Source organism: Homo sapiens, chromosome 9 (assembly GCF_000001405.40).
Source record: "Homo sapiens chromosome 9, GRCh38.p14 Primary Assembly".
Lineage (NCBI taxonomy): Eukaryota > Metazoa > Chordata > Mammalia > Primates > Hominidae > Homo > Homo sapiens.
Window position 1 is genome coordinate 109,957,364 of NC_000009.12, and position 21,390 is coordinate 109,978,753.

At 44.9% G+C, this 21,390-nt stretch overlaps 1 protein-coding gene across 12 annotated transcripts in view, besides 8 other annotated features; it reads left to right on the top strand.

The window, feature by feature from the left end:
• PALM2AKAP2 (PALM2 and AKAP2 fusion) overlaps positions 1–21,390 on the top strand; it is a 531,726-nt gene that overhangs the window by 316,577 nt on the left and 193,759 nt on the right. The gene's annotated exons all lie outside the window — the stretch shown is intronic.
• Positions 9,435–9,534: an enhancer, noted in NCBI's record as "active region_28776". NCBI's record gives its function as "activates an Ori minimal core promoter by ATAC-STARR-seq in GM12878 lymphoblastoid cells {active_cell/tissue: GM12878}" and the evidence as "EXISTENCE:reporter gene assay evidence [ECO:0000049][PMID:35858748]".
• Positions 10,215–10,264: an enhancer, noted in NCBI's record as "active region_28777". NCBI's record gives its function as "activates an Ori minimal core promoter by ATAC-STARR-seq in GM12878 lymphoblastoid cells {active_cell/tissue: GM12878}" and the evidence as "EXISTENCE:reporter gene assay evidence [ECO:0000049][PMID:35858748]".
• Positions 10,275–10,394: an enhancer, noted in NCBI's record as "active region_28778". NCBI's record gives its function as "activates an Ori minimal core promoter by ATAC-STARR-seq in GM12878 lymphoblastoid cells {active_cell/tissue: GM12878}" and the evidence as "EXISTENCE:reporter gene assay evidence [ECO:0000049][PMID:35858748]".
• Positions 10,785–10,854: an enhancer, noted in NCBI's record as "active region_28779". NCBI's record gives its function as "activates an Ori minimal core promoter by ATAC-STARR-seq in GM12878 lymphoblastoid cells {active_cell/tissue: GM12878}" and the evidence as "EXISTENCE:reporter gene assay evidence [ECO:0000049][PMID:35858748]".
• Positions 14,909–15,118: an enhancer, noted in NCBI's record as "active region_28780". NCBI's record gives its function as "activates an Ori minimal core promoter by ATAC-STARR-seq in GM12878 lymphoblastoid cells {active_cell/tissue: GM12878}" and the evidence as "EXISTENCE:reporter gene assay evidence [ECO:0000049][PMID:35858748]".
• Positions 17,020–17,399: an enhancer, noted in NCBI's record as "active region_28781". NCBI's record gives its function as "activates an Ori minimal core promoter by ATAC-STARR-seq in GM12878 lymphoblastoid cells {active_cell/tissue: GM12878}" and the evidence as "EXISTENCE:reporter gene assay evidence [ECO:0000049][PMID:35858748]".
• Positions 18,570–18,739: an enhancer, noted in NCBI's record as "experimental_104594 CRE fragment used in MPRA reporter constructs". NCBI's record gives its function as "activates a minimal promoter by MPRAs in K562 erythroleukemia cells, with activity observed for the non-introgressed 9:112738298 or rs12683699 variant allele {active_cell/tissue: K562}" and the evidence as "EXISTENCE:reporter gene assay evidence [ECO:0000049][PMID:34662402]".
• Position 18,655: a transcriptional cis regulatory region, noted in NCBI's record as "Neanderthal adaptively introgressed variant 9:112738298 (GRCh37/hg19 assembly coordinates) or rs12683699 in the experimental_104594 CRE". NCBI's record gives its function as "modulates activity of the experimental_104594 enhancer by MPRAs in K562 erythroleukemia cells {active_cell/tissue: K562}" and the evidence as "EXISTENCE:reporter gene assay evidence [ECO:0000049][PMID:34662402]".

The window sequence follows — 21,390 nt, forward strand, 5'->3', positions numbered from 1 at the left end:
TAGCCTTTGTTCTGCCTCCTGGGCGTTAGCAAGCTGACTCCCGCACAGAAGACTTCTTGGTTGACTCTTGAAGAGTCAGGGATTTAGTCAATGCAAGCTGTAAACTGGCTCAGCACTAGAGAAGCAGCAGACATGAGTAGAAAAAGGTTCTCCCAAAGACAGCTCAGCTTCACTTTTCTCTTCTCTCTTCACTCCTTTCTTCTCTCCTCTTTTCTACTGAATGAACTTAAACATTTTTCAGCTGAGATGCATTCCCACCTGCAGGGTGAACTGAACTTTTAAGAAGCCTATTAATTCTCCCAGGAAGCACCAGGCTGCAGCTCTCTGGTTCTCATTTCTTGCTTGCTATGTATTAGAACCTGGGACATTTTCTCCAAAATATAATGCTATGAGGGCCCCCACTCCAGAGATCATTATTTAATTGGTAGGGTGAAGCCTGGCACATTTATTAAATGGTTCCAGGTGATTCTAATGGAGATTCAGCCAGTGTTGGAAACAGCAGCACACGGGTGCCCAGGGCTGGCCGCAGTGAGTCCGGGCTATGATTCTTGCCTCAATTCTGCAAGCCAAGAAAAACGGGCTTTGGATTCAGGAACAAAGCAAAGCCCAAGTCTGTCATTGGCCAGCTGAGTAATCTTAGGCAATTAATTTCAATTCACCAAGCCTCAGTTTCTTCTTCTGTAGAATGGGAATAATACCTACCTTGCAAGGCTTCTGTTAGGAATGTTTCCCTTCTCCTTTCCTTCCCATTACAAAAGAAATATATTTGAGGCAGTTGATTGAAAAAAAAAAACAGCAGAAAAAGAAACAGATGGAGAAATTAGGCCAAGAGAAAAATAAGATGAAATTAGAAAACTCCATCTAGCTTATATTACTGAACGTTTACTTCTCTCACTTGTTTGAGCAATTCAGTTTGTAAAATGTACCACATAATACTACTTTATCAACCAAACCACTTAATTCTAAGATCTTGGGTCTATTTTGAAAACAACAAAAACATGATGTGACAGAAGCAGCATTCTTGAGTGTAAAGGGACCCATGGACTGAGCTTTGTCTCATTTATGCCTTTATCGTATGACTTAGAGGAAGTCATTTTTCCTCTCTTGGTCCCAACTTGCTCATCTATAAAATGAGACAACGTGATTGTGGGTGACATTCTGAGTGGACGCCAACCTCAGGAGTATTTTTCTATAATTTAAAAAGAAAGGAGAGAAGAAAAAGAGAAGGAGAAAAGGAAGAGGAGCGAGAGAAAAGGAAGGAAGAAAGAAGGAAGGAGGGACAGAGAGAAAGAAAAGGAAGAAAGGAAGGATGAAAGAAGGGAAGGAGAGGAAGGAGAGGAAGGAAGGAAGGAAAAGAAAGAGAAAGACATTAAGAGGAGGGGAGTTGTTCCTTGAAGGTGCTGAAGTCCCTGGCCTTTAGAAGCCATCACATCAGCCATCTGCTGTGCCTGGCCCTGTGAAGTTACTAGTAAGCCACCCGTCACTGCCTTGTTCCAGGGTCTTGAAACCCTGTGGCTATTTTCCTGTGTATGAAATTCAGTGGGGGGAATACCTGCCTGACCAAAATTTGTAGTTCCCCATGGTTGAAAATAAGAGTCTGAATCTTCCTTTTAAATATATGAACAGAATCGTCTTTGCCTGCCATCTTTGTGCCCTCACTTTCTCCTTGGAGACTTGGCAAACCCCCCCACCTTGAGGGAGAATACTGCAGACACGTGCCACTGCTCCCCTATTCTAGATGTTTTCTCCAAAGGAACGTTGAGTTTGTGAGCAACAGGCTGACAGTGCTTCTCTCCACAGACAATGTTTAACTCTGGACAAAATACAGGCTCCTTCTCTTGTTCTCACTTGTGACTCCCTGCTCCATGAATGTCCAGTGTACTGGGTCTGAAAGCAGTAAGCCAGTTCTGCTCTTTAATAGCTCTGTGTCTTTGGGTCAGACACTTAGCCTCTTTGCTCTGTAATACACCATAGAGAGTTGTCTTAAGTATAAAGATCCAGGCCAGGGGTGGTGGCTCAAGCCTGTAATCCCAGCACTTTGGAGGCCGAGGCGGGCAGATCACAAGCTCAGGAGATCGAGACCATCCTAGCCTATACAGTGAAACCCCGTCTCTACTAAAAATACAAAAAAACTAGCCAGGCATGGTGGCGGGCGCCTGTAGTCCCAGCTACTCGGGAGGTTGAGGCTAGAGAATGGCATGAACCCGGGAGGCGGAACTTGCAGTGAGCTGAGATCACGCCACTGCACTCCAGCCTGGGTGACAGAGCAAGACTCCGTCTCAAAAAAAAAAAAAAAAAAATCCTAATATTTCCATTGATCCAAAGAATTTTAGAAGTGGTAGATAGAAAGTTAGGCATAGAAACTCCAAGTTGAATGGGGTTAGTTAGCTGAAGTTTGGCTGAAGAGAGTTTGTTTTCATGTCTTTTCACCTACCAGGAGAAAATTTCCCTCATTGAATGTTGGAAGGAGACGTGGGAATTTTTGGATAATTTCCTGAGGCAGTGGCTGGGTAATGGAAACTCTCATTGTGAGCGTACAAGCATCCATCCTCATCACTAAGGCACTCTCCTACTCAGTAAGAACAGAGAATCACTGCTTTGTTCTCTTTCTCCAGAATTAAGATCAAACCCTTCTCTCTGGAATTCAACATTTGCTAAAATGCAACAACTTCTTCTCCATCACCCCCCTCCGCGAAACCTTAGTTCCCACTGATTCCCAACATAAATTTTTCTTTTTAATTAAGGATCCCACCCTGGCCCTCACTGGCCATTTTCACCCCTTCCCCACACTTGGCCCATGCTGTTCTGTGCACACTTGGAATCATGTCCCTCTTCCCCTGGAGAAGCCTTCATCCTGCTCAGCCCAGCTGCAGTGCTTTCATCTCATACTGCCCCCTGCACCCACCCACCTTTCGCTATCAGCCCTCCTCTGCACACTGCACTCCTGCTGTCTTTACCATACGGCTGACCCTTCAGTGGGGCTCCTCTGTATTCATTGGATAAAATACTAATTTTTTAGTTCCAAAATGGATCAGTAGCAGCACCTTTGATCTCTGAAGTAGTTGACTTTCACCCTGAGACACAGACTTATAGACCATAGATGAAAAATGACAATCAAGATATAATGCATAAGTTGAGCACGGTGGTATGTGCCTGTAAATCCCAGCTACACAGGAGGCTGAGGCAGGAGGATTGCTTGAGCACAGGAATTTAAGTCTAGTCTGCACAACATAGCAGGACCCTATTTCTTTAAAAAGAAAAAAAAGATGTAATGCTATCTTTTGGCTCCCAAGAGTCAGTAGGAAGGATGGGAGAGGAGGGGACAGGAGCCCTTGCCAGAAAAGGAAATTGTAGTTTTATTTTCTCCCGTATGTCAGAAGAGAACAGATTGGTATGGTGTGCAGGTAGCCATGGGTCTTCTCTTACCAGGCCAGAGGAGAGGCTGAACTTCCCTCAGCAGTTCCCAAGCAAGTTTAGCAGCAGAATCATAGACAAATTGTCTTCCTATGCCTTGCAGTGTGGGTGCTTGTTTACTATTTGAGGGAAAAGTGTTTAGGCAAACAGGTATCCTGAGGGTGACCAGCTGTGCAAGGATTAGGCTACTGAAGCACACCAGTTCTGGCTGGTGGGAATGGAACTGGAGCTCCCCAGCAGGGCTGCCAAGTATGATTGTTCAGGTTGCATACTGCACAATCCTGGAAGGCTCCATTCACATCAAGTACAATGTGAATGGTGCTCTTGGAGTTGTTCAGTGCATAACATGCATACTACACCTGCTCAGGCAAAAGCAACCTATCCGTTCTTTGGAACATATAGCTAAAATTCAACCAGAAACTTACTTTATAATCATAGCATTGCACATATATTAAACTTGCTGTAGCCTGTCAAGTTGCAGGAATCAGTTTATACCCTGAAGACTATGGACTTGACTTCTAGGAACCGGTAATGAAGACATACTTCCAGGGACCAGGCATATTCTTCCTTGATTTTCTCCAGTGAAGTTTAGCATGGTATAAACACATGGTATGGGGTAGATATTTCATGATGTTGTAGCTGGGATCATGGAGCAGAATGAAAGGGCAGAACCAGTTGCTCTTTTCTCAGGGGCGGCATTGCCCAAGCATGAATTGTTATTGAGTGGCCACTTAGAAGAAAGATTTCTCTGACTGGGGTGACCATATGTCCCAGTTTGCACATGTTTTACCAGCCTAATTTTCAGTAATGTTCAGTTGGGATGATGAACCATATGGTCGTGTGACCTCTGGCATGGAGATGGGCATCTCTGCTTTGTCAACTACTCCACATCTGCAACCAGCCTTTCCTTTTATTGATGCCTTGGCAATTCTCCATGATACAGACACAATGCTGAGGGCACGGCAAGACTCCTGTACGCAAACTGTTCTGAAGGATCAGAGTGTTGTAGGGTGACAGTCAGCCTCATCCACATCAAAGCATTTCCTTTTTTTCTTCACCATTTTTGATCAGTTTCATATTCCTGTGGGTACTAATGAAAAGGAACAGCAGAACCACTATCAAGTCCAGTACTTACTAGGCAGATAGAGACCCACTGGCTTCTGGCCTGTGCCACTTGCTGCTGCCCACACTCATCAGTGGAGGAGAATTCCCTACTAAGTTTTCAGTAGTTATAATTGCCACCAACATTGCATGGGAGAGAGGAGCATGACTTGAAGTCGTTTGCAAATGTATGTTCATCCAACAACAGCCAAGAAGCATACCCGAGACTGTGCAGGTGCTGCCCAAGTCCTGAACACATTACTGCACAGTTGCTCAGAGTTCTGGTTCGACTGCTACCTCTTGTACCCCAGTTTCTTCATGTGTAGAATGGCAAAGAGGGTTAAATCTCTTACAAAGTGTTTTGGACACTGCCTGGTAAATACTGGCAGAACTAAAATATAGCTATTAGTAAGAATAGTATCAGCAGCTTTGAGAGCCAGGGAACAACCCCTAAGAATGGTATGAAGTAGGGATCAGCAACTATGGCCTTTGGAGCAAATGTGGTCCTCTGCCTGTTTTGTAAATAAAGTTTTATTGGAACAGAATTATGTCCACTTATTTAAGTATTGTTTATGGATGCCTTATTGAGTAGTTGGGAAAAAAATCATATGGCCCATAAACCTAAAATATTTATTGTCTGGTACTTTACCAAAAAAGTTTACTGGCCCCCAATTAAAGCATAAGTAAGATACTCAAAATCTCATTCCTATTCCTATTCCACTAGCAGTTACTGAGCACTGATTAAATGCCCTGAACTGTGCCAATTTTTTTTTTTTTTTTGTAAGACAGAGTCTTACTCTGTCACCCAGGCTGGAGTGCAGTGGCACGATCTCGGCTCACTGCAACCTCCGCCTCCCGGGTTCAAGCGATTCTCCTGCCTCAGCCTCCTGAGTAGTTGGGATTACAGGTGCATGCGACCAAGCCTGGCCAACTTTTGTATTTTTAGTAGAGATGAGATTTTTGCCATGTTGGCCAGGCTGGTCTCAAACTCCTGACCTCAGGTGATGCACCCACCTCGGCCTCCCAACAAATGTTTTAACATAGATTATCTTATTTAACTTTCATGAGAAGTAGCTCTTCAAGGTTAATGGAAATATCCCATTTTATATGTGAGGTTCAGAGCACTTGTGCTTGTGTACAATTGCAGAGCTAGGATTCATACTCTGGTCTGGAACTTTAGGAGTTATGAGGACAGACATCCTGGAGGAGTTCGGTTTGCACTTGTTCTTGAAGAATGAGTATGGTTTTCAGTAAGCAAGGAGAAGACCCAGGGGAGGGTATTGCAGAAAGAAGGAATTGACTGAGCAAAGGGCCTGAAATAGGAAGCTTGGGCTGGTTGTCTGATTTGTTTAGCCTGAAGGGACTGAAGGAGACAAGGTGAAAGAAGTGGCTGTATGCCAGGATGTAGAGAGACAGGTACTTCCTCGAGGAAGCAGCTATAAACTGAAAGTTCAAGGTCAAGCCCATAGACATATTGTGTTTGGCCTTTACTGTATTGATTCACACAAGGATGTTTGCTTTGGTTTTCACTTGAATTTATAACCAGCCCATCCTACATTTCATCTTCTCTTAAAAGACTGCAAGATCTAGCCAGACTCAGCCACATTTCCAGGAGGTGGGAACTAGCTAGAGTTGAGTTTAGCTGCCCTCTTTAGATGCAGCATCTGCTTTCCTATGGGCCTTTACTCATCTTAGACTCAAGCAAGCACAGCCCCCATACTGGGCCCTGGGCTTTATAGGGCCTTGCTCTAGTCACACTCTTTTCTAAGGGGTGAGGAGTCTTTGGGCCAAGGTGACTTGCCTGCTCCCTACCCCTGTCCCCTGACTGTGCTTCACCTCCCAAGACTCTGAATTGTCTCCTGAACGGTCCCAGCTCACATCCAGAACTCACATGGGCCTCTTCTCTGCATCTGTCTTCCCAAGGATGGGCCACTCTGAAGGGTGTACCAAAGGGAAGCAGTTTGCCTTGAAGGTAGCGTATGTGTGGATGGACCTTTGAGGTGCAGGCTAGGGTGTCCACCATGGGTGTGCAAGGCCTCTAGAGGTGCAGGACAGAGCAGAGGGTACAAAGAGTAGGGAAGAAGGTAACAGGCCACAGAATCTCGCTCTGCACCACCAAATCTCAATATGGGACACGCAGGAATCCAAGAACTCACAATTTGAACTTGGCCTTCTCAGTCAGTATGAAGTATATTTGCCAACTTAGTAAGAGAGAACATAAAATATTTAATAATTTTGAATTTGATTTCAGATATTGAGATATACTGTATGTCAGCATCTATTTGTGCACTTGCTCCAAGCCCCAGAAATGTTCGGCATAGGCCTGGCTGCAGCCCTACCAGTTCCCATTGTCTTACACCAGAGCTGTGTCTCTCATGGACATGACCTGTCTGGTGCTTACAGGAATGAGAGGTTTTGGCCCTAGCTAAATTGGTTTAGTGGTGAAGAAGATTGAAGGTTTTTGATCAGGGCAGATTGTGCCAAATGGGCTACTGCAGGCAGAGGCAGAGGCAGGAAGGCCAGTGAGGGAGCTATTGCAGGAGACCAGCTGGGAGGTCAGAGATTTGAACCAGTAGGAGCGAGAGAAGAAGGGACAGATGCAAGATTAATTATGTCTTTTCCTTCCACAATGATCTTTAGGTTAAGGTCGCCAACTTAACCCAATTTAGCCTGTGACTTTCTTGGTTTTTGCTCTGCAAGCTTCTGTCCCAGGAAACCCCACAGTACTGGTCACACTGGGGAGGCTGGCTTGCCTGCCTACCACCTAAATATCAGCCACCATCATATTGAGCTCTTACTATACCTCAGCTGGGAACTTGAGCTCAAGGCTTTGGACTTGAGTATAACTTTGCTCCTGGAAGCAAACTGTCTGGCTATTTCTATTCCTTGACCCTAAATCAAAAAATGGCAAATAACTCTCAGGCCATGGAGCTTCCCTTGGGTGTTACAGTTACAGATTTTCAAGTCAAGGATATGTTCAGGACCTAATTAGCTCATCCAGACACTTAGAATCTAGATTCATGCTGGAAGGGAAGAAAATGTCTCCCTCCTCACCTTTGCTGGACACAAGGATGTGTCATCTTTCATCTGTTTCTTGCCATTGTCATTACCATCAACATTGACAGAGATAACACATAGAACCTTGAATTATGGAATCCTTATTAAGTTAGATACTCATCTCTTCTAGAAAATAAAATGTTTATTAGTAAAAGCAGAATCCTCAGGAAAACAGTATTTATAAGCCCTAGACACATGGCCCTGGAAAAGTCACTTAACTTCTCTGAACCTCTTTTTCCTATGAAGTGGGACTAATAATCCCTACGATAGATTTGTATGGAGAATAAAGTTTAAAATGCCTCATGCACAAAAGAATTGAGAGCAAGGACTCGAACAGATATTTGTATACCAATGCTCACAGCAGCATTATTTCCAATAGCCAAAAGACGGAAAAAACCCCAAGTGTCCATCCACAGATGAATGGATAAACAAAATGTGATATATCCCTACAATGGAATATTATTCAGCCATAAAAGGAATGAAATTTTGATATATGTCACAACATGGATGGACCATGAAACATAGTGCTAAGTTAAACAAGCCAGAGAGAAAAGGACAAATATTGTATTATTCCACTTACATGAGATATCTAGACTAGTCAAATTCGTAGTGACAGAAAGGTTACCAGAGGACCTGGGGGAGAGAAGAAAGGAGAGTTATTGTTTAATGGGTACAGAATTTCAGTTTGGGATGATGAAAAAGTTCTGGAAATGGCTGGCGGTGATGGTTGCACAACAGTGTGAATGTACTTAATGCTATCGAACTGTAAACTTAAAGTGGTAAATGGTATTATGTATGTTTTACCACAATAAAAAAATAAATGCCTCGTGCAGTACCTGGCCATTGAAGATACTCAGGGGGAAAAAAAAGAGCTAAAAAGAGATATTAAGATGTTTCTAAGTGTTACTGAGTTCAGAAGTGGGAGTTCATACTTTAAACTAAAAGTAGTCAACGAAGGATTTGCCAAGGAGGTGGGATTTGAGATGGAGTTTGTAGGACCAGGCAAGGGAAAAGGCAACCCAGCCAGGAGGAAATGTGTAAGCAAACCATGAAGCTCCTGTGTGTGGTGATGGGGACCCGGTGATGATGTTGTGATCTGTTTTGTTTTTTGTTGGAGACTAGATTTGGGATGGGGTTTCAAGGGACTTGGAGTCCAAGTTGACCTGTTTAGGTGCCAGGCAGAGCAGAGGCACTAAAACTATCTGGGCAGGGAGGATGAAAAGATCAGTGTCGGCAGAAAGATCAATCTGGGGCATCGTAGAAAATGGATTGAATGGTGCCATACCAGAGGTTCAAGGCAGCCAGGGCAGTGTTGCACAAGTCCTAGACTAAACTAGGATGGTGGCTGTGCAAAAGAAAAGGGAGAGATGGAGACTAATTTCAGAAGAGCCTTGATAGACTTAAGATATCAAGGAAGAGGTGGCAAAGTGTTAAATGTTTAGCAGAATAGCTCAACCCTGGAGCCAGGTACCCTGCATTTAGTACTGCTAATGTTCTAATACCAGTACTGCTGCTTATGAGCTTGTGTGACCTTGAGTGAATGACTTAATCTTTCTGTCCTGTTTCTTCCTCTATCACATAACAATGAATGACAAAGTAGTGCCTCTCTCACAAGGCTGTCATGAAGGTTAAAGGAGTCAATATTTGTAAAGATCTTACAATAGTATTCAGCACAGAATATATGCTTGCTATTTTTTATCTTTTAAATCTGGATGGTTGGTACGTTGGTGTCTGTTACGTTATTTTTTGGTGTTTGAATATTTTAAAGCATGACCTTAAAATAATGTACTTTCAAAACAGTCTTGCTAAGCAGTGCTTCTTAAAGCTTAACATGCATGTGAAATGTTTGGCAGTCTTGTGAAAATGCAGGTTCTGGTTCAGTAGGTCTCAGGCGGTACTCAATGGTCTGTGTTTGTAGCAAGCTCCCAGGTGGTCTGGTGCCGCGGGTCTGCCGGCCACTCCTTGAGTAGCAAAGTTGTTAAGGAACGGAGTTCCATCACGGTGTTTCTAGGATTGTTCTGGTTGTCTTTTGCCACATAACAAATCATCCAAACCTAGAAGCTAAAACGAAAATGATTTATGTTCTATGCTGTTGTTGTTATTATTATCTCTTGCAGTTCAGCTATGTAGTTCTTGGGATCTGTCACAAGCTGGTGGTTAGATGTAGCTGGGGCAAGAGTCAAGAGTCATCCTGAAGGCTTCCTCCCCCTCGTGTCCGGTGGTAGATGCTGGCTGGCTGTTGGGACCTCAGCTGGGGCTGTCAGCGAGAACATCTCCCCAGGGCATCTCCATGTGGCAAGGGGCTCTTCACAGCTCAGCAGCTGTATCTCAAGACAGAGAACCAGGCAGAAGATGTATTACCTTTTCTTGCCCAGCCTCCAAGTCTCACAGCATCGCTTCTGCCACCTTCTATGTATTAGAAGCAAGGCACTAAGGCCAGCCCATATGCAAGGGTAGCGCAGTGAGACTCCGTGTCTTTTTTTTTTTTTTTTGAGACAGAGTTTCATTCTGTTGCCCAGGCTAGAGTGCAGTGGCACGATCTTGGCTCACTGCAACCTCCACTTGCTGGGTTCAAGTGATTCTTGTGCCTCAGACTCCCGAGTAGCTGTGACTACAGGCAGGCGCCACCACACCCAGCTAATTTTTGTATTTTTAGTGGAGATGGGATTTCACCATATTGGCCACGCTGGTCTCAAACTCCTGAATTCAGGTGATCTGCCCGCCTTGGCCTCCCAAAGTGTTGGGGTTACAGGCGTGAGCCACCGCACTTGGCTGAGACTCCATGTCTTGAAGGGAGAAGTGTCAAAGAATTTTTAGACATGTCTCAAAACCACCACAATGGCCTGCTTAAGGAAGCTCTGGGAGGAACAGAAAGTGGTGGATGAGTCAACCAGGGAAAGTTGACTTTGTTGTGTTTAAATTTGTGGGTTTGGGGTACCATGAAGACCACTTGAAGTTATTCTCCAACAGGCAGGATGGTGTGTGAGTATCTGAGTATCTATCTCTCACACCAGATCATAAGCTTCTTGAAAGCAAGGACTTGGTCTTTTTCTCTGCAATAGTTCTGGTGTCTACCACAGTGCTTGGCACACAAAAGTGACCCAAACAATGTTTGTTTGATGAGGGAATGAATAAATGAATGAATGAATGAATGGTAAAGGATTTAGGACTGAGGCTGTGTGGTCTGAAGAAGAAAGGATACTGGAATTCTGGAAATCTCTCCCAGAACAGTCCTCTCTGGCACTTCTCCCAGGGAGAGGGACTCCTGCATTTGCTCAGAGGCCACCATGGCCCTGGGGGTCTGGCCTGCCTGCTTTGCAACTTGAGGCCCTCGCGTACCCCATAGGCTGTGGAAGGCCTGGATCTGCTGGGAAACCTCCTTCTTCCACTAAATGGAAACTGGAATTCCAGGAGAAAGCAAAAATCAACAAGAGCTATTTTGATTATAATGATATCTCATTTCTAAGCAGCTCTCTCTATTTCCTGTTTATAGCCCAAACTGAGAGCAGAAGCGACTAGATCTCTCAGTGAAAGGTTTTCTCCGAAGACGTCTAGCTATATCATCAACAGGAAACAGTACTCTCCCAAGACAAAAGTCCCTGTCTCTGGCCACTCTGTTGGGTTTCATTGCACCCTACAAAGGGAGGTGGGAAACCTGGGTTTCTGAAAGAGGCCCTGATTTTGTGTTAGCCTTCAGCATCTACCACTTGTACCCAGCTCCCAGTCCCCCAAATTTCTGGGGACTCCATGTGAAATCAATGCACAGGAATTGTGGGGGGAAGCCCTAAGGAGTCCAGCCGCGATTTTCAGCGCGATTTTCAGGGCAGCTACATTTCACTTCAAAACTCCCAGTAAGTCTGCCACTAAGACCCCTGGAAAGGCTGGCTATGTCAGCCCTCTGTCTTCATTAGAAGAATCTCAGGATTTCTTCCAGTGACAGAACATGATCCTCAGATTCCAGGGAGTGACCCCAGACCCAGTTCCTCTCCGGGCTATAAAACTGTGGAGTGTGACACAGACAGAGAGACTGTGGTAATTTAGAGACTAAGAAAAAAACTGACTAGAAAGCAACTGAACAGAACAGCTGCAGGAATGTAAAATGCAAGACCCTCTGATCTGACAGTCTTTTCCTGCACCTCTACAAATGTGCGTGCACACACACACACACACACACACACGACTCCCAGAAAGGACCCTCTGAAGACAGGACATTTCAGCTGACATCTGAAAGATGAGGAAGGCAGCCATGCCAAGAGTATTCCAGAAAGAAGGAACAGGGTTTGCAAAAGCTCAGCAGCTCCACAGCTGCTGGTCTGGGCCAAATAGGACAGACAGCCTGTGGCTCTCCCCACACCTTGTGCTTCCTCACTCAGCCACTGTGAGTCTCCTCTCGCCTGAAACAGTCTCCCGCTCTGTCCTAACCTTCCAGCATCTTTCTCATTCACTCTGTCTCCTGAATATCACCCACAAAGGGTAGCAGTATCAGTCTTGGTCCACACACTTATGCAAGAAGTGCCACTTTGTTTTCTTTAAATCAAGTGATATCAGACTCTGTACCCCAAGGCTGCTGGTCTGGCAGGCAGTTCAAACTCAGTCGTTCACGGGGCTCTCTCCCACCCAAGGTCATGCAAAGGTGACATGCTCATCTTGGGGAAGGCCCATCATCACTGGTTCTCACTGGATTTATCCTTGGGTGTGCATTGTCCTGGTTTTCAGAGCCCCTTCAGGGCTGAAGTCTGTGTGGCTTCTGAGCCAAGCTTGGAGACAGGAGCCTTGGCAGAGGCTGGGAGCCTGGAATCAGCATCCAGCTTCCCTGCTTACACCACAGTGTAGCACTCCCACATCCTCACCCCACCCCACCCCAAGTGCAGCCTACAGCCCCTCCCCTCTACTGCTTCTGGGAGAAAGTGCACCCCTCCCCGAACCCCACCAGGATGCCTAGCTTCATCTCTTTAGTGAACTTTTGGCTTTTGCAAAAGACCTGAAGGCCCATTGACCAAAAGTAGCCTCTGCCCAGGCAAGGGAGCACAAAACCCACTCATCTTCTAGAAATGGACTGGAGAGTGCAACACAGGAAGTGCCCACACAGATGTTTCCTAGACCTTGCCTTTAGGGTCCCTCTGTTCTCAGGGATGCAGTCTATCCAGCCCTGGGAACTTGAACTCCCTGAGAACAATGTCCCTCTCTATCTATGGTAAAGGATTAGGTTTTGTTTTTTTTCTTTTAAGCTTCCAGTTCATCTCAGAACAGTACTTTTGTAAAGTACAATGAAAGTGAATGATGAGAAAAGTAAAATTTTTGAAAGACACACAGAATACAGGTACTGATTTTTTATTATTAGATTCAATAAATTGTTATTAAGGGTTCTAAACATATTCTTTCCATTTCTGCACTCACTTGGTCACCGATCAGTAACCAACTGTGGAGGGACACGGATTGGTGGGCCACTCACTTTGAGGAGCGCTGCCTTAGAGCACTCAGGAGGGAGCAGTGAGTCCTTCTTCACCTCTAGAAATGTGGAGCTTAGTGAACTGTAGAATCTTCAAGGGGTTAGGGTAGAAGCTGGAAACAAGGACAGCCTTTACCTAGTGAGCCAAGAAACTAAAATCCAGCCTCCTCTTACAACTACTTACAATGCAAAAAGAATTACAGTGTAGGACTATGGAGCCTGCCTCTGGGGCAGGCTGCCTGGTGATACATTCAGCACTGCCACTTACTGCCTTGACCCAGGATGAGTTAATAGCTCACAGCCTCAGTTTACTCATCTGTCCAATTAGGATAGTAGTACTATCTCATAGGGTTTTTGTAAAGACTGAAGTTAATAAGTGCATAATCACATAGAGTTGCTCTTGGAAAATAGTAAGTGCCTGTGAATATTAAAAATTTCCTGGCCAGGTGCCGGGGCTCATGCCTGTAATCCCAGCACTTTGGGAGGCCAAGGCAGAAGAATTACTTGAGCCTAGGAGTTTTGAGACCAGCCTGGGCAACATAGGGAGACCCTGTGTCTACAAAAAAAATTTAAAAAATTATCTGGGCATGGTGGCATACACCTGTAGTCCCAGCTACTCAGGTGGATGAGGTGGGAGGATTGCTCAAGCCCAGGAGGCCGATCACACCACTACACTGCAGCCTGGGCAACAGAGCAAGACCCTGTCTCAAATAAAATAAAATAAAAGTTTCCTTAGAAAGAAAGCTTCAGGAGGTTAGGGATCTTTATTTCCTGATGTTTCCCAAATGCCTAGAACCATGCCTGGCACATAGCAGTGCTCAGTAAATATCAGTGAATGAATCCATCTCCTTATCCAATGCTGAACTTCAGGCTTCCATGTTTATCCCACTCTTAGTCCCTTTTTTTTTTTTTTTTTTTTTTTTTTTTTTTACAGAGAAAAGGGGTCTGTTTGCTCTTTGTGTTCTTTGTGTTCATAGTGTTTCCAAGCCCCAGGCCATTCAGAGCTTTTGTCTCCAGTGCCCCACACATTCAAGAAAGACTTGAATTGCCTCTCAGGTCTGAACCTGTTTTGTGCAGGGTGTCCAAGCTGGAGTGCAATGGACCGGTCTTGACTCACTGCAACCTCCCACTCCCGGCTTCAAGCGATTCTCCTGTCTCAGCCTCCCAAGTAGCTGAGATTACAGACGTTCGCCACCAAGCCTGGCTAATTTTTGTATTTTCAGTAGAGATAGGGTTTCACCATGTTGGTCAGGCTGATCTCGAACTCCTTACCTCAGGCAATCCGACTGCCTCAGCCTCCCAGAGTGCTGGGATTACAGGCGTGAGCCACCGCGCCCAGCCAAGATACATTGTTGCAGAGTGTAAAACCAGATCTTGTTGACCTGGCATTTAGACCTTCCAAAATCTGATTTCCACCTGTGTTTCTAGGCATGTGACCCACTGCACACTACACAGCCCCCACAGGGACCATTTCTCCTACCCTGAGCAAGCCATTCCTCCAAGACACACTTCTTTGCAACTCCTGCCCGTTGAAAGATTACTCATTCTACCAAGCCAGGCTTAAATGCTGCCTACTCTCTGAAGCTGTCTCTGATATTCCACCAGAGTTCGTCTCTCATCTGCACATCTACTAATTCTCTGTTCTCAACTCCTGTTCAGAAGACCTTGTAATCAAGTTCATTGTTTGCACATCTGTCCCTTTACTAAGGTGGAACTCCTTAAGGACAAGGGACCATATCTTCAGCAGCTCTGAATAGCATTGGTGCTTCATGCAGGGCCTTGCCTATAAATACAACTTCAACAGGTGGGAGTTGTTGGTGGGTTCCCACCTGCAAGCATAAGTCAGCAGGCTTCACAGTGAGTGGCCTAACATAGGTGTGGATCAGAAGGAAATGAAAGCTTCATTCTAGCTTCCCCAATACTACTTGTCTCTTACCATTCCGTTGTCTTGAGTATTCTTTGGGGAACCTGCTGATATAGGAGGAACAGTGGCTTCAATCTGAAGGACTGTGCCAGCTTAGGGTGAGTATGACTCAGTCTGGAAGCAGAAGCAGAAGGGAATATGGTTTTGTGGATGAACGTGGGAGACAGCATGGCATGAGGTTAGTGCTCTGAGGTCTGGTGCATCTGGCTTCCTGTCTAGGCTCTGCTGCTGACTGGCTGGATGACCTTTAGCGTATTCTTCATGCTTTGATGCCTGTTTCCCCATCAGTATACTATAGACAATGTTGGGACCTCCCCTAACCCCTGCCACTAGGGGCATAATGAAGAGGAAGCCAAGGGGTGTGCATATGACCCCACCACCAGTCTGCAGGGAATGCCACAAAGATGCTAGCCTTTGCAAATTCTGGTGCAGTGTTACGAGGAGACAAAGTTCACAAACATTACCTTGCCCCTGGGTACCACGTGACTTTTGTCTCCCTATATCTCCTGCACAATTGCAAGGATTAAACATGCTAATATGTATAACGGACTTAGCACCCTGCTCTCCAATAATGGCTTAATAATGCTCTGGTTTCTCTTCAGATCATATAAATCTTTCACCTTTTACCAATAATGGCTTAATACACCTTTTACCAATAATGGCTTAATACACATAAGCAAAAAGACTCAGTTAATATAGGCTATAAGTTGGAATCAATAATCCATGAAAGAAACCCTGGATAGGGTTTTTAGGACACAGGCACTGCTATACCCTAATAGAATGGATCAACTTTCATTCAGTTAAAAAAAAATCTACTTCTTTTTTATGCCACAAAGTGCCACCTTAAATTTATCTTAGTGATTGAATGTCATACCCAAAAGAATCAAAAGCACTGGAGCAGTTGATCTGGTAGAAACTTCAGCATGTGTTTGTTCATTCCACAAAGGTTTACTAAACCCTTGCTTTGTGACAGGCACTGTATACCAGTTGGCCTTCTCTCTACATTATGCTGTTGCAACAGGCAACCCCAGTAATGGTTTCTTTCTTGCTACTGGAGCTCTGTTCTAGGTGTCTTCATTCCTGGACCCAGGCTGCAGGATCAGCCCCTATATGGAACATGCCATTCTTATGACAGAGAGAAAGGGGTACTAGGAGAACCATATAGTGGCTCTTAAAGTCATGCTTGGATGTGGCACGTGTAGCTTATATTCCATTGGCCAAGGCAAGTCACATGGCCAAGCCTGGCACCAATGGGGTAGGGGAGTATCCTCCTCCCATAGAGCAGCACTGCAGATCTCTTGACAATGAGTGAGGATATATAATCCTCCCACAGGGAAGGCAGAAAGGATTTGGGGGCAATAATACTGTCTGCCACATGCTGTCATGAATGCTATCTAGTTTTAGTCTCTTGATAACTCTGTGAGGTAGGTATTATTATCCTCATTTTACAGAGTGGAAAATTGAGGTTTGGTGTGGCTAACCAACTTGCCCAAGATGTAGCCAGTAATAAGCACAGCTGCCTGAATCGAAGCCAGTACCAATGGTATATAGCCAGCCTTGGGCTTCTTGAGGACTCATTTTCATATAGATGTTGTCATTCAGTAAACATTGATAAAGCATCTACTATGTGCCTGGCGCTGTGCTGGGCATTGGAAACACAGTGATGTGCAAGACAGACACTCTTCCTACTCTCATGGAGTTTAGAGTCCAAAGGAAGAGAGAGGCAGACAGGACACATGTAAAGTATGACTGGTATGTGCTTCTATGAGGGAGATGCAGACTAAAGCAAGAGTCCATGGAGAGAGCATGCAACCAGACTCAGAGCATAAGAAATGGACATGTCTCTGATGACTGCACAGAATGTAAGAGCTGGAGGACTGGGTCACATGGCTGTTGTCAAGGCCCTGCCTGGCAGGGTGAGTGCCAAGGGCAGTTTCTGATTCAGAATTCTAAAGGGCACTCACAAGAGTTCAATGCCGATGGGCATATGCCCAGCCTGTTGCTAACGGGACTGGACAAACCAGTGGCTGTGTGGCAGGAACCTACCATGTGCTTCCGACTAGTGAGTCTGACCCAAAGCCCTTTTCAGGCTTCTTCTGGGAGTGTTGCCTCTGCCTTACCTACACTCAGAGCCATGCATGCTGAAAAAAAAAACCCAAAGACCCAGAGATGTCAACAACAACCTGAGAGAGAAAGAGAAACCCAGATTTGATCTGATTTTGAATCGGCAGAGTGACACATGTTGCTTAGACTGCCAACGCACGCCACTCTCACTTCCCTGAATGGTTTCCATTTTAGTGGCATTGTAATAAAAAGAAGAAGGAAAAAAATCCCCTGCAATGGTTTACAAAGTGTACCGCAATAGTAAGAAATACCATTTTCTCATCACTGCTGCTGCAGCACCAGAGTATGGGGCCCAGCACTAGGCCTGTCTTTGCAAGCAGGACTAATTACATAGTAAGTGATTGCCCCTCAAACAGAGATGGCATGTGTGCTGGGAAATAGGTCACTTCTTAATGAGGTGAAGCTCCAGCAAGAAGCAAGCACAGATGCAGACTATTCCTCTTGGGATGCAAAAGGCATCTGAAAGGTGAGCACATATGTCCCATAGGGGAGCCTCTGGCCAAATGTCACATCTCCAGGGAAATGTCTTTGAAACAGATGACTCTACTTTCAGCTTGGTTATGGACACACACAACCTTGAAAGTTTCAGAAAATATCACAAAGCCAAATATATATGTATCTGCACGTGCACACACACACACACACACACACGTTTGTGTATATTAGGATTCTTAAGAAAAGCAGAACCAATAAGATGTATGTAGACATATGGAAAAATATTATGAGGGATTGGCTCACTCAATTATGGCGGTTGAGAAGCCCCACGATCTACTATCTACAAGCTGGAGGCCCAGGAAAGCCAATGATGTAATTCCAGTCCAACCCAGAAGGCCAGAAACCAGGGGAGTCAGTGGCACAAGTCCCAATCCAGGTCCAATGGTCCAAGAACCAGGGGCACCAGAAGACGGACATCCCAGGTTAAGCGGAGAGAGAAAGTTCACCCTTCCTCCACTTTTGTGTTCTATTCTGGCCTTCAACAAATTGGATGATTGCCCACCCACACTGGTGAAGGCCATCTTTTTACTCAGTCTACCAATTCAATGCTAATCTCTTTTGGAAACACCTTCACAGACATACCAAGAAATAATGTTTTACCATCTATCTAGCCATTCCTTGGCTCAGTCAAATTGATACATAAAATTAACCATCACAGTAGGTATATGTATCTTCTTACCCTTGATTGTATTTGAAAACTACACATGGACACTACTGGGCTTTGAGTGTCGACTTGCTTTAAAAATAGTCTTGGAGCTTGGAAAGGAGCCCTTCTTGGAGAGACAAGCAAACTGACTCAGCCCGAGGGTTATGGGCAGAGAACCTGCAAAAATTGTGGTTCACAGCCACCATCATACATTCCTTGCTAACTCTGACACAAATGGTAAAATGATGAAGAGCTACACATTGCTGGGGAACCACGGGGCCTGTGCATTCAGGGTCAGCCGGTGGGGAGGAGGAAGAGCAGATTAAGCAAGTATGTCCCATGCCCCATGCCTCAATAATCAGGATAAATCATATTTTAATAATGCAGTATTTTAGAAAATCAAATTAGCAAACTATGGCCATGGGCCATCTGCCTGTGTTTATAAATAAAGATTTATTGGAAGCATTTTTTCTGAAACTATTCCAAGTTTTACTGGAACGGAGTGTAGTGTGCCTGTTTAAATTTTACACCCAAGCCAAGTCCTTACCACCTCATCTTAGTCCTGGCCCTGCCTCATATCCATTTACTCATCATTTCCTTCTCATCCAGCACTACAGAGTGCCAGGCACTAGGAGACAGAGCTAACAGTTACTGAGCACTTAATATATGCCAAGTACTATCATTAGCAGTTTACACATATTACCTCACTTAATCCCCACAACAATTTCATAGGTAAGAACAGTTATTCATGCCATTTTACAAAGGAGGAAACTGAGGCATAGAAAGGTGAAGAAGCTTTCCCAAGATCAAACAAGTAGGAAGAGGTAGAGTCAGGGTTCATATGAAGAAGTTTGAGGGCTTTGATGGAGATGGATGCCTGGAGAAAGGAAGGATTACTCAGCTCTGAGAGGTCATCACAGAGGAGGTGACTTTAAGCAGGGTGTTGAAGGGTGAGTAGAAGATTGCTAGGCAGAAATAATAAATCTAGGTTGCTGTAGTGTTTCAGAAGAGAAAATATATCTGGAGAGGTTTTCTCTGGCTTCCCTAGGCCCATGTGTTGCCCTAAAATCAGAACAGCAGCAAAATAATACAAATAACCAACATTTATTGAGTGCTTACCCTATGTGCTAGGTACTGAACTAAGTACTTTATATGTGTTATCTCATTAAATCCTCAAATAAACCTGAGAAATGGGCACTACTCTTATTTCTGTCTGACATATGAAGAGTCTGAGGCTCAAAGGAGTTAAGTAACTTGCCAAAGCTATACAGATAGTAAGTGGCTGAGCCAGGATGCAAAACCAGGGGATGCCACAGTGTGAACCGCAGTGGGCACTGCTCATCTTGTAGTCTGTGCAAAACCCAAAAACTTGGTGCCAGAGCTTCAGGCTTAGCAAAAGCAATATGCCAGTGGTGCTCAAACTTCACAGTGCATCCAGTTCACCTGAAGGGCTTGTTTAAAAAAAAAAAAGCAAGCAGATTTCTAGGCCACCTTAGAATCAGAGATTCTCATTTAGGAGGTCTGAGGTGAGGCCAAGAATTTTTATTTCTAATGCTGCTGGTCCTGGGACCAGACACGGAGAACCACTGTATCACATTGACTCTCAGCAACAGCAATAGTACTGTCCTCCTAAGCTGCACCAGGGAATACAAGTACAGGAGGTAGTTGAAAGAACATGCTTCTTCCTTCTTAGTATATAGATCAGGATCCACTTAGTGAGAAACATTCAACCTCCCTTCTTTTTATTCCAGTTGTCCTTTTCTCTGACACTTGCATCAATTTTCTGATTGCCTAGGCTCTTAATATTGCTTTCTGTTCATGTGGGCTTTAATGACTTGCTCGACATGCTAGTGCTTTTGCAGAATTAGGCAGCCCATGTCCCACCACTTCTGCTCTGAGCCTGATGTGCCTCTTAAATTGACACAAACTCCAGCTATCAATGTGAGAAGGATCATGTGTTTCCTGATGGTTCTCTAGGCTCCACAGGGGCCAAATTACACCAAAAAGTAATTGGTTTCATGTATTAGTCAGGAGTCTTTGGGTTGCAAGTGACAAAACACAATTTGAACTGATCTGGAAAAACTGACATTTACTGACATACATATCCTGATCACAGGAAGAGCAAGGGTGCCGCTGGTCTGCAAGCGTGACACATCAGGGCTTTAAATGCTACTGGGACTCTGCCCTTCACCCCCTGCCTCTCTCTGGGTATCAGCAACATCCTTTCAGGCAGGCTCCAAACAGCTTCCTTTGACTCCCAAGCTCTGTTTTCAGTCCCACCTTGAAATAGGGATAAACAGACCTGGTTTCTGGATTCTGGGAAAGGGCTCTTGGTGGCCTAGCTTAGATAGTTGTCCATCCCTGGACCAGGACCTTGGCCATTTTGGATGTCTACCCATACCCAATCTGAGATGGAGTGGGACAGGGCTTGTAGAAGATGTTAGCTTTCCCTCAAACCATAATGTCAGAGTGAGTGAAGGAGCATTTCTAGAAAAGAGAGGAAGAGATATTTGGTAGGAAAATAAAGCCCCAGAGGTGAGTGGGTGAGTGGAAGGAGGGATGCATGCCTCCTCAGGACCAGGTGCTGAGGTGGCAGAGGGGAGATGGAGAGAGGGGAGAAGGAAAGTCTCAGCCTTCCTGGAACTCACAGTCTAGAAAGGCCAAGTCATGCCAGAGATGTCAGTGGAGGTTGGCAGACATTTCTGTGGATCACAGCAGGAGGCATAGCAAATATTTCATCTCAAATATTTTGAGAAAACCTGGGTTCTTCTGGATGGGCTCATCTATTCACCCCCACCCCCAACCAACTTTTGAGCATCTACTGTGTGTTAAACAACATGTCTGCACTCAAGAAGCTGAGCATTAATGGAATGCCCTAAGGTGGCATCAGACCTTGTCTCTAGTGGATCAATCACTCCCAAAGATGCATTTAAAGCTCCCTGAAAAGGAGCATCTGCGTCTTCACTGGCTACTGTCCCCATCCTCCTTATGTTGCCTGTAAGGACTCTCTTTCTATATCCACTCAGGCTTTCACAGGCCAAGGCTCTACCTCACTTTTGCAGGGTAATCTCACTGAGAATGAAGAGTCCCCTCACTGTGGCTTTCTATTTTCTCACTCTGGGTCTGTAAGTGGAGACAGTCTTCTATCTCTTTATGTCATTGCCTTTGATTTCCTTGGGA